The following is a 12,424-nucleotide window of genomic DNA, read 5'->3' as shown; positions in this document are numbered from 1 at the left end:
GACAAAATTTTCTTTTCTAACTTTTTGCACATTTTAGTGTCCATTTCACTCCAGGAACACTATGTCCTTCAGTTGCATATTACATGACTGTGTCTTCACTGTCTGAAGAACTTTAAGTGTGCTTGCTGCATCCACAAACTGTGGACAAATTTACATTATATGCTCTCAAGTGCCTGTACTTTCACCAGAAATTTCTCTAGTCTACACTCTCTTTTGCCTTTGCCAATAGTCTCCTTCCATCGCCCAAGACTTGCCTTCAAATGTGAAGAGTAATGGCCCCTATTAGTACATTTTTATTTTGGCAGACCCCCTTGTCTGGGATTGAGTTTTTAAAATGTACTCCTTGTAGTTAGTAAATATTATGAGCAAAAACCATTCTGACAATTTGCAATTGCACAAAGCTATGTGCGCCATCATAGCTAATACACCTTACCTACTGTGAGGTTCCAATAATCCCAAAATTATCCCTTATTATAATTTACAAATACTGAGCACTGTGGAATTATATGTTAAATTGCTAGGATTTTCATGGTAACCCTCTCAATCAAGCTATACTAGGTCCCTCTGTCACTGCACCTGAAAGATGTCTTTGGACATCAAGAAGATAGCATGAGTTAAAAGAATCAATAAAAATAGATAATTCAGAAGAGGCTAGCAAAATGTTACCTTCATAACTCTGCTCTCTCACTTCATAAAGCTAAAAGTGGAAGCTAGGCAGGTCATTAATTTTTGTACAGATTGTAGTACACGTAAACATGTGCTACATAGCAACATAGTGTCACCTCCTCCTTTTTTCCCCTTGGTAGATAAATCTGGGAAATTTACAAGTCTTTACACATTTGTTTGTGTGTGATTTGTGAACAAAAAGTACTCACAAAAATTACCAAATCTATTATTTTTCAGATTCATCATTCAGAAACTGTTTATAGACTTAAAATAAATATTAAAAGTTTCTTAAGAAACGTATGGTTTCTTGATACATTTTGAGCAACTGGAACAGGAGTTATAATGAAAGACATCTTTCAACCTTGCCACCTTTTACTCCCATGAACACAATAATAAGTGGCATAAGTTTACACAGTCAGGTAAAAATGTCTCCATGAAACCATCCTTATGACCTAAATACAGCCTCACTGCATTAACTAATCAGGGAACATGCTGATAACAGCAACAACAAAACAGTTTTCCTTACACCTGGCAAATCAACATTGACCAACTTGTTCCTAGGTATACCTACTGCCCCCAGAAGCTAAATTATAACTAGATCATCCATGTCTGAATCATAAAAACCCTCAATATACAGTACTAGGCACTTCTAGTCACTTTGGGGAGCTTGATGGAAATACCATCTCAAAAATATATTTAATTAGTTCCCATATTGATGGTAAGTTCAGGAATCAAGGAAAAAAATTCTCAGAAACAGAATCCCCAGAGTATGACTTGATGCAAAGGTTTTAGAACTGTCTTCACAAACATACACAAAATAAATAAATAAATATGTTACAATATGATCTCCAGGTAAAAGAAAAAATACTTTTTAAAATTTAATAATAGCTCCGGGTCCTGAAATTAAGCATAGCAGGAAATGAGAGTTATGGATTTCAAAAGACATTGCACACTCTTTTTAAAGCTACAGTTGGCATATTTCTGTGTAAACTCTTAACACTTTTGTGTAACTGCAAACACAGCACGAAGGTAACATGGAGTCTCTATAAAATTACAGCAGGCAGACAATGCTAAGAAAAAAAAAACCTGTGTGTTCTTGGAATTTAATCTTATTTCATTTGATTAAGAATTCTAATATAAAATCAATGTAAGGTCTCTGATTAATTAAGTAATAAAAATTGCTGTGTTATGGATCTAGTGATCCAGTGATGGTGCTACATAAATGATGTACTCCATTAGCAAGTATTTTATTAATCATTTCATAAGTGGTAGGCAATATCCAAAGGGCAAAGGATATAGCATGAATAAAACAATTAAGATTCATGTCTTTATGGAGCTTAACATTCTAATTTAGGAGAATAGACAATAAGTTACATAAGATGTGTGTATTCCGGAAAACAGAGATTACTGTGGAGAGAAATAAAACATAGGAGAGGGGAAAAAATATTGAGGAGAGTAGTAGGTTTATAGTTTTTACTATCATTTCCAGAGTTGGCTTCACTGGAAAGGCGAACTGAACAAAGATTGAAACCATGCAGATGTTTGTGAAACAGGGAAAGGAAGTAGGCAGTGGAAAGCCTTGAGGCTTGAGGTATGACTAGGAAGAGCAAGGAGCCGGTGGGAACTTATGGGGGTGGGTAAAAATGTGTGGAGAATAAGAGATGAGAGCCTTGTGAGCCATTTAGTAGATATCGGCTTTTACTCTGAGTGAAATGTTAAGGAAAGATGTGGTTTCATCGATGATTTCAAGAAATACTTTCCTTGCTTGGCTAAGAATAGACAGAAAGCAAGAGCAGAGACAAAAATCACTTAGGAGGATACTGGGGCAAGAGAATATGGTGGCTTGTACCAGGATTTCAGCAACGTAGGTGGTAATAAGTAGTCATATTCTGGGTATATTTAGAATGTAGAGGCAAAAATGACTTGCCGACAGAATGGTTGTGGGATGTGAAAGAGAGGAAGAAATCAAGAAGGACTCTAAGCGTTTTTTTTTTTCTTTTTACCTGGGTAACCTGGGCATCCACTCTTTAAATGGATAAAACTGACATTTAAAGGGAAAAAAGTGCACTGAAGCAGAGTTAGGTTCAGGAGTAGAGGGGAGAGCAAGTGTTTGGATTGGGACGTACTATGCTTGTCATAACTATTACACAGCTAGTTGTTGGTGTTGAGTGAGGAGACCTTCAGGTGTGAAAGATAAACTTGGGTGTAACCAGAATGAAGACAGTTTTTAAAACCAGGACACTGGATGCAATCACCAAGGTGTGAATGTACAGGGCAAATAGAAGGGCTCCTAGTACCGAGCCCTGGGGCACATCAACATTCAGAGGTTGAAGAAAAGGGACAAGCAAGGAAACTGCAAAGGTGATTAATGAGGTAAGAGAGAAAGTGTAAGCGTGAATTGAGTCTTGGAAGCCAGGTGAAGAAAATATTTCAAGGAGGAAATACAGATCAATTCTCTCTAAAAATGTTGATGTGTCAGTCAAAGGGTCATTGGATTTAACACTAAATCATTGGTGACCTCTGTAAGAACAGTTTCAGCAGAGTTGTGAGAGAGTGAGTTGGTTCAGGAGAAAATAGACAGGAGGAAGAGTTAGAAAAAATTCAGAGAAGTTTTGCTATAGAGGGGTCACAGTAATGAGAGGGTTACTAGACATAAATGATGTGGAATCAAGAAAAAGCTTTGCTTTGTTTTAAGATGGGAGAAATTACAGCACATCTGTATGCTGACAGAAATGATCCTGTTGAAAGCATTCTCAAAAGGTAATCTAATAAGAATTATCTGACATGTTCTAATAAATTATATACTTCTTCTATAGAAGCCTGAGCCACTAAACTGCAATTGCTAATGAAAAAAGAAAAACTTTAACATATTTACAACAACAAATTGAGAACATAAATGGCTCATGCTATATCTCATAATTTTTCAGTGTGTCTACTCAAATATTCATCATCGTTGACCATCATTTTTGCCAAAAAAATTCTCACAATTTCAATTGTCACCACCAACAGCTTGATTGAAAAGATTCTTTGGAAAAATTTTTCCCAAATAATTGATATATTTATAAAGACCTATGTGATAGGTGTTCTGATCAGGGGCCTTCTCTAAGATTAAAATTTCTAAAAAAAGGAGCTGTGATCTTTTCAGAGAGAGGTGTTACTAAAGAAATGCAGGTAGAGAGGCAGGGGTCACCTTGGGCAATTGATTCTCAATTATGGGTGAAGAATAGAATTACATGAGAAGATTTTAAAATACCTATGCCCTAGATTCATCCTCAGAAATTCTGAGGTTTAGTTGGTTTTAGATAGGGCCCAAGCATCTGAATTTTTAACAGTTCTTCAGTGGATTGTCATGAACAGTACTTAAATTCTTGGCACAGATCTTTAATAGTCATCAACTGTCAGCCTCTAAGTTCTGAGGGTTTAGTGGCAGGGAATAAAGAAACACTGGGATGACCTTCAAGTCCTCTCAAGAGGCAGTGGTGTGATAGGGTTTCCGGCTCAAGAATAACATTTATCTTAGTAAAAGACTTATGCATATACCTTAACCAAGCTTGTGTTTATCTAAATTATCTAACAACTCTGTTCCTCATCTCTCCCAAGTTTTTACAAATCTAACTTAAAGATTTGATTCAAGGGCTAACTCATGGACTTAGACTATTAAAGAATATCTGTCTAGACTATGGTTAGAAAGTAATTTCTACTCATATTACCTCATTAAGCAAAACCCAGAACACAGACATAAGGCATCCTTGGGGTGCTATGATTGTGTGTATAAATGGCATGCTTCAATTTCCTGTTTCTTTTCCTATATTACTATAACTTGTTCTCGGCCTCCTTTAAACTACTGTTTTTCATTTACCTCTTTTTGGTTTCTGCATTTATTTTTACCCTTCTCTGCCTTTCTCTTCATTTTGTAGTGTCTTCTTTCACTTTTTTTTAATCATTATTGGCAATAGCTGGAACACGGAAATGGAAGAGAAGTTACATTCAAGGAATGTAAAATATTGGGAGTTCTTTATAATCATTTAGAAAGCATTTCATACAGAAGGGGTGCTAAAAATTATGTATCTGAGCAATAAAGCCCAGAAAATAACTTCCAAAGCAGTTCTACTACTTACCCCAAATAAAGAAACCAAGAAATGGAAAATCACATATACAAAATAATTGTATACATTTTAAATGTACAAGCTGTTTATTTCATAGAGAATCTTATTGCCTGACTATATTTTAAAAATGAAACAATGGTTCTTCTGCATTTTAAGGCAACAGTATCCTCTTGGAAGAGTAATATATATAATACATTCACAATATAATCAACATAAAGGGTCTTTTGGATACAGTGCATATATGAACAAGAATCTGTAAAAGAAATTATTTAAGACTAAAGAGGAAAATCATGCATTATTGCCATGTACTGTGCCTAGCTCTCCATCCTGTGCACATATTAATTTAGTACTTACTAAACATTAGAAAATAAATGAAGTGCTACAATAATTCTTAGACTTCAGATCAAACCACTCTTTAAAATCTGTTTTCACTCTCTGTATAACAACGTCTCTATGATAAGCCAGCCCTTTCTCAAAATCAGTGAGAATTCTGGCAAAAATGCTAGATATCTGTAATATGATTTAATTCTATTAAAATAACTTCAATAAACCATTTGCATACTAGAAATTACAGACACTAGCTCATTTAGGATAAATTCAAACAATACAAAAATGTTGCTAGGAGATAGGAAAAAATAGCTAATTGAGTTCAGCAAAGGAAAGTGTCTTCATGATTCCAATTGAGATAATCATTTCATTCTTCACTAACACTCTTTGGATGCTACCCTGAAATTATGGAAAGAAACACAGCTAATCAACTATGAATTTTAGAATGTTCATCAATTGTTTTCCATTTATAATAACTTGATCAATATTTCAATGGTAAACAGATTTTCAGAATTTCAGTCTCCCTATAAAAATTTTGTAACCATTTGCATTTCAGCCTTAAACAACATGGTTCATTGCCCTATTTTATTTATGTAAAGTCATTTTGATGCCTAATACAAAGTATCTTACTCTCTAATAGAAAGGATTCTACAACAGGTATGAATTTGAATTCATACATTCATTTATTCTGAATCATTATTTATTTATTTAAATATCTCTATCACCTAGTATATTGTGAGTTTCTTTAGAATAGAGCCTATTCATGGCCAACATGGTGAAACCCCATCTCTATTAAAAATAAAAAATTATCCAGGCGTGATGGCAGGTGCCTGTAATCCCAGCTCCTCGGGAGGCTGAGGCAGGAGAATAGCTTGAACCCAGGAGGCAGAGGTTGCAGTGAGCCGAGACCGCGCCATTGTACTCCAGCCTGGGCGACAAGAGCGAAACTCCATCTCGAAAAATAATTAAAAAAAAAATTTAAAAAGAAGAATAGAACCTATTCAAATCTTTATTCCCAATAACTAGACAGTGACCACATGCAGGATACATTTAATACATATTTGTATATCAGATTTCCTAACTGCTTGGCACAAAAAACTATATTGTTTTAAATTTTATTTTAGAGAGATAGACTATAAAATGTCATCTCTCAATCATTCTTCTAAACGGGTAATCCTAGAGTAGAATCTCACTCTTCAGGCCATAAAATTCATGTGATCATAGAATGTTTCTGGTCATTTCATTTGGTCTGAAGAGTGTTTTAAAATACTGTAACTAGGCAGGAAGTGTGCCTTTGGTGATAGCAATGGTACAAGTGTAGACCCGTTGTCTTACTGTAGGACCACTTCACACTACATGTCACAATGTCAACTGTGAATGCATTTGAGTTTATGACACTTACCTCCTGAGCCCAAAGTTTTAGAATTGAAAGAGCCTCAGGAATGTATCTACCTAAGCCTAGATTCTAGAAAGTGTCTGTATGGTTCTATTAGAATGAGTGGTATACATAACTTCTGAATAAATTATTACATTTGTTTTTTATTGCTGTGTAATAAGTTGCCATAAATGTAGTTGCTTAAAATCATACTTTTTTGTAATATTTCTGTGAATCAGGAGACCAGGCACAACTTAGCTAGGTCCTCTGCTAAGGGTCTCACAGGCTGCAAACAAGATATCAGTGGGGCTGCATTTCTTACTAAAGTTCGAAGTTTTCCACCAACCTAAGTGGTTTTCAGAATTAAGTTCCATTCCATACCGCTGTTGGATTGAGATCCTGCTCTCTTGCTGGATGTTGGCCAGGACTAGATCTCAGCTCCTGACCATGTGATCTGCTCACAGACCCTCTCACAATACAGCACCTTACTTCATCATTTTTTTTTTTTTTTTTGAGACGGAGTTTCACTCTTGTTGCCCAGGCTAGAGTACAGTTGTGCAATCTCAGCTCACCGCAACCTCTGCCTCCTGGGTTCAAGCAATTCTCCTGTCTCAGCCTCCTGAGTACCTGGGATTACAGGCGTGCACCACCACGCCTGGCTAATTTTTTTTTTTTTCTAATTTTTAGTAGAGACAGGGTTTCTCCATGTTGGTCAGGCTGGTCTCGAACTCCTGACCTCGGGTGATCTGCCCACCTCGGCCTCCCAAAGTGCTGGGATTACAGGCGGGAGCCACCACTCCTAGCACCCAGACCCATTTTTAAGAACGTTAACAAGATTGTATCTGGCCCACCCAGGATATTCTTCTTTTGGATGAACTCAAAATCAACTAATTTGACCTAAATTACATCACAAAATCATCTCACTTTTGCCATATCACATGACCTAATCACAGCTGTGACATCCCATCATGTTCACAAGTTGCACCCAAACTCAAGGAGAGGGGGTAATACAGAGGCCAGAAATCTTGGAGATCCTCTTAGAATTCTGCCTATCACAATCACAGATGCTTTTCAGACAATCATATTTCCCAGGATACAAAAGTGTGTTAACACATATAGATGTACACATATATTTATATAACACATAAACTATACAAATTTATATCACATTAGTTTAGTTTAAAATATTACTAGACTGTACCTGCCTATGCATACATATGTAGGTATATATAATACATGTAAATATATATATTTATATATTTATTTTTCCTTCTAGTTGTCTTTCTCCTTAATTTGTACTTTTCCTCTTTCTCCTTCTTCTTTCCTTCCCCTTTTCCTGCTTCATCTTCTTTTCATCAACAAAATACCAAACGGAATTAATTTGTATAAACTGCCAAAAAGGAAGAGACTTAATCTTTGACTATGAAAAATTAGGCTAATGTTTTTATTTTTATTCATAAAAGAGCATTTGGTGAAATGCCATGGTAGATTTTATGTTTGCACACTACAAATGAGATGGAGTTTACTTTTACTCTCTAGAAAAGAAAACACTGTAACTTCTTAGCTATTCATGATTTTATATATATAAAAGTAAACCATCTGTAAGCCAATTTCCTTAAGGAAATTAGGAACATTTTTAGAGGTTTCATGATAAGGTGAAATAAATGTTTGATGGAGCCAATTCTCTTCTTTGTTCAATAGAAATTATTTTTTAAGAAACTGGATTAAAGTGACTTTACTCAATGTATTTGTCTAATGGATTTTCTCAAATTTGCAAGGCATAAGGAAATAAAATGAGTAAGAAAGTGACAGAGATTTTCCTATCTAATCAGAGATTTAAAAAGTCTTTATTTATAAGCATTCAGGAGTGAGAATTAAAGGGAGAATTTTGCAGAGTGCTTACTTTGACATGGTAAGAAAAGCAAAAGTATGCATCATAAACTGGACCTCTGAGAGGTCCATACAAGGGAATTCCACCCAAAGAGATCTGGTTAAAGGCCTATTCTACTATTAAAGAGCTCTGTCATTTAAGAAGAAAGTTCACTTTCTCCATGTATGGATTATGAATATGATTAACTTCTCTATCCAATTCTCAGGATTACTGTAATTAAGTAGTATGACAATAAAAAGAGCACAGATACACAACTCAGAGAGAATTCTGTTGTAGTTCTGACTTTATTACTTCCTAACTACATGTACCTGGGCAAGTTATTTATCTAGCCTTAACCCAAGTTTCCTCACATGGCAAATAATACAGAGTCTCAAGGCAAACTTCTAGAATTAGAAAGACCCCCCAAGCTAGAGTGAAAAATGACTAGTGAAATGTTTCTGCATGTAAGAATACAGTGCAGAGAATGCCTACTTTCACATCCTCCCAACAACCTCATTCATTTATCTCAGAGTCAAATGTATAAAGCAAGAAAGACTAGAGAATGGGTAGAATTTACCTTTTCTGGGATCTGAGACTATCCAAAATGATTCTATATATCTGGACTTTATATTTGTTATTTAATTCATTATTGTTTCAAAATAAATGAATAAGTAACAAAACTTAAAAAAAACTTTTCTGGATAAAAGGTGTTCCAGAACATTTATTCTTTATACTGTATCATAAAGTCAATATAGAATGTTGAGTATAATATTCATTTATTCTAGACAGTTATTGCTTCATGTATGACATGAGGAAAATGTATCCATGCTCTAATATTTTGCATGCCATAAAGTATAAAGGATACTTTATAGTAAGAAAGAATCCACTTTTTTGAAGTTTTGCACAAAATATGGTTAAAAAATCATTTAGATGGTGACCAGAGTGACTCTGTGAAAGATAATAGATTACATGTTAGTTAATATGTAGGTAGCAAGGGAAAGGAAATAAATTCTAAACCTACATGTTTGAGCTGAAGAGAGGAGACTCTTTCTATTAAATTAGTTTGTATATATTGAGCATGGGAACTTCTGCTCTAAAACCATAATGTAAATATTCTGTTGAACCTAAGCTGCTGGAAGATGAGGATTAGGAAGACAAAGGATTCCTATTTGCTTACAATCACTGTGCCAGGTTCTAAATAAAAGCAAATTACAGACTAAATTCTGCCACATATACTGCCATTTGTAAGCCCAACTCTTATTAATAAGCAGGCACAAAAACACTTATACAACCTGCTTTTGTCAGCTTGATAAAGTCCCAATTCTCTGGGTTTTGTGATAAAGCAACCACTTCCTACATAAAAAATTCTCTAGCCCAAAAATATTTTAGAGGCAGGATTCAGTTAACCTAATATTTGAAACAGCCAGCTGGAATATTCTAACCTGTAACCACATTAGAATCCTGCCTTCAGTGACATTCTAAAAGATGAGGAGGAAAATGCTTTCCTGACTTGATTATCCTATATAAGCAGTGGGGGAAGTCTAACATAGTTAGATCTGTATATGTTGAATACACCTAAATTCACATATAATTTACAGGCATCTTCATTATTCTCATTAAAAAGCCACTAAGTTCACCAGTGAAAATCCTCTTCTAATATACATTCACAAAGCCTCTGGTGTTGATCAGGGATAATCGCTAAACCACTTATAGTTGCCTTTTGATTAAATGTTATTACCCTTCATGTGTATAAAGCATTCCCTATTAGGAAAATTAACTGTCTCTTGAGCGAAATTGAATTAAGACATATATAACTTCCTATCTCTATGCTGAAATAGTTTAAAGCGCATTTCCAGTGTCATAACACTCAGAAGTATTTATCTCCAATCCAGACCTTTCCTATAAACTTCAGACTCAGCATAAGTGGCCTACTAAACATAATCAATAGCCTCCTGATTGGTTTCCTGTTACTGTCCTTAGCCCCCTACAGTCTGTTAACAATACCACAAAGAGTAGTTCTGGCTCCTTCTGATAGAAATCTAGAACCGCTCAGAGCAAGGGTCAGATCTTATCATCCTGTGCATGAAACCCTTTAGTGACTCCTCACCTCACAGAAGTAAGAATGAACATCTGACTGGGTCTTCAATTCCTCTGATCTTTCTGATTCTATCTCCTACTGCCCTCATCCTGCTCACAGCAGGGAGTCTCAGTGGCTGCCTTAATGTCTCCTCAATCATGCCGGGTACTCACTTCCACCTCAAGGTGGATTGGACATGAGGCCTTCCTCTGCCTGGTTCCCATTCCTCATATATACGCATGGCTTGCTCCCTTACCTCCTTTAGGAATTTGTGTTAATATCATCGTATTATTTTCCCATGGCTGCTATAACAAACTACCACAAACTCGGTGTCATAAAACAATAGAAATTCCATTCTCTCACAGTTCTGGAAGGCAGAATGAAATGTTTCACTGGGCCCAAATCAAGGTATTGGGAAGGCCACACTCCCTCTAGAGGCTCTACAGGAAATCTGTTCCTTGCCTCTCCTAGCTTCTGGTGGAAGCTGGACTTGTGGCCTCACCATTCCAATCTCTACCTCTATGGTCACATTGCCTCCTCTTCTCTCTCTATAAAATCATCTCTGCCTCTCTATTACAAAGGTACCTACCATAACATTTAGCACCTACCCGGATAATACAGAATAATCTCCTCGTCTCTTAATCTTTAACTTAATTACATCAGGAAACTTTGCCTGTATGTTAACATTCACATGTTCTGAGGCTGAACCTGTTTCCTATGGGGAAGATGTTTGTCAGTCTACCACAGTCATTTCTCATAAAGGCCTTCCCATAATGTCACAATTAAAATGTCAGCCATCCTCTCCCACAGCACTTTCTGTCTCCCTTCTCTGCTTTATTATTTTTTCCAGAGCATTGATCACCAGATGACATTCCTTATATTTACATATTTCTTATATTATTTGGCTTCTTCAACTATAATATGAGTACCATGAAGCCAGAGTTGTCATCTTTTCTCTTCATTGCTCTTTTCCCTAATACCTTGAAAGAACAATGTCTTTCATACAGCAAGCCTTAGATGAATATTTCTGAATGAATAGATAGATGAATGAAGGAAGAAAGGGGTTCAAGTATTTTAGTTGAATGGAAAATGTATCTAGTAAGTTAAAGGGTGCCCCTTCAAAATATTTGTCCATGTCTGAATTCCCAGAATTAGTGAATATTAGCTTGTATGAGGAAAGAGTGAACAGTTGTAAAACATGTGATTCAGTTAAGGATCTGAAGAGGAAAAACTTATCCTGGATAGTCTGGCTGGGTCCTAAATCAAGCACATGTATCTTTATAAGAAAGAGAGGCAGAGGTAGAACAGAAAGAGACACACAGAGACACACAGAGGAAAAGTCACAGAAGAGGAAGCAATGTGACCATGAATCACTCTGGTAATTAGAGTGATAGGGCCATAAGTCAAGGCATGCCAGCAGCCACCAGGAGCTGGAAATGGCAAGGAACATACCCTCCCCTGAAGCCTTCAGAAGCAGTCTGGCCCTGACAAAGACATTTTGATTTCAGACTTCTGGTCTCCAAAACTATGACAGAACAAATTTCCATTATTTTAAGCCACCTAGCTTGTGGCAATCTGTTATGGCAGCCCTAGGAAATTACTACAATGTGGACATTCTAAATGGCTTCTAATTATAGGAAGACAGATTATTTTAGGAAAGGCATTCTTATTTTGAATTTATTATCTGGGTTCCTGTCACTCAATTAAGAGCACAGACTCTGCAGTCAGAAGTCAGATATCCTGTGTTGCAATTATTTTGTTAACTTCTGAGGACCTTGGGGTCCATTGATCTTTTTGCCTTGGTTTTAGCATCTGTAGAAGAAGAATAAACCAATGGTAGGCCTGGAATTAAAATATTTAAGAATTACAAAGCAGTTAGAAATGTGCCTACACCTAACATGCATTAAATGTTGTCATTATTTTGCTATTATTTGCATTATATTATGAAAATCTAGTTTATTAGAAATATCTTAGCAGTGTGATACATTTTTGCCCATCAAAAA

At 35.9% G+C, this 12,424-nt stretch overlaps 1 long non-coding RNA gene across 1 annotated transcript in view, besides 2 other annotated features; it reads left to right on the top strand.

Moving 5' to 3' along the window:
• LOC105377861 (uncharacterized) overlaps positions 1-12,424 on the top strand; it is a 32,911-nt gene that overhangs the window by 7,631 nt on the left and 12,856 nt on the right. The window lies entirely within an intron of this gene.
• Positions 10,225-10,751: an enhancer, noted in NCBI's record as "NANOG hESC enhancer chr6:77418612-77419138 (GRCh37/hg19 assembly coordinates)". NCBI's record gives its function as "activates a minimal SCP1, AML or CMV promoter by ChIP-STARR-seq in naive H9 embryonic stem cells {active_cell/tissue: H9 hESC(naive)}" and the evidence as "EXISTENCE:reporter gene assay evidence [ECO:0000049][PMID:30033119]".
• Positions 11,349-11,518: an enhancer, noted in NCBI's record as "experimental_94632 CRE fragment used in MPRA reporter constructs". NCBI's record gives its function as "activates a minimal promoter by MPRAs in K562 erythroleukemia cells, with activity observed for the introgressed 6:77417930 variant allele {active_cell/tissue: K562}" and the evidence as "EXISTENCE:reporter gene assay evidence [ECO:0000049][PMID:34662402]".

Source organism: Homo sapiens, chromosome 6, assembly GCF_000001405.40.
Source record: "Homo sapiens chromosome 6, GRCh38.p14 Primary Assembly".
NCBI classification, from domain to species: Eukaryota; Metazoa; Chordata; class Mammalia; order Primates; family Hominidae; genus Homo; species Homo sapiens.
Note: the sequence above shows the minus strand (reverse complement) of the source record. Positions and strands in the feature narration are given on the sequence as shown.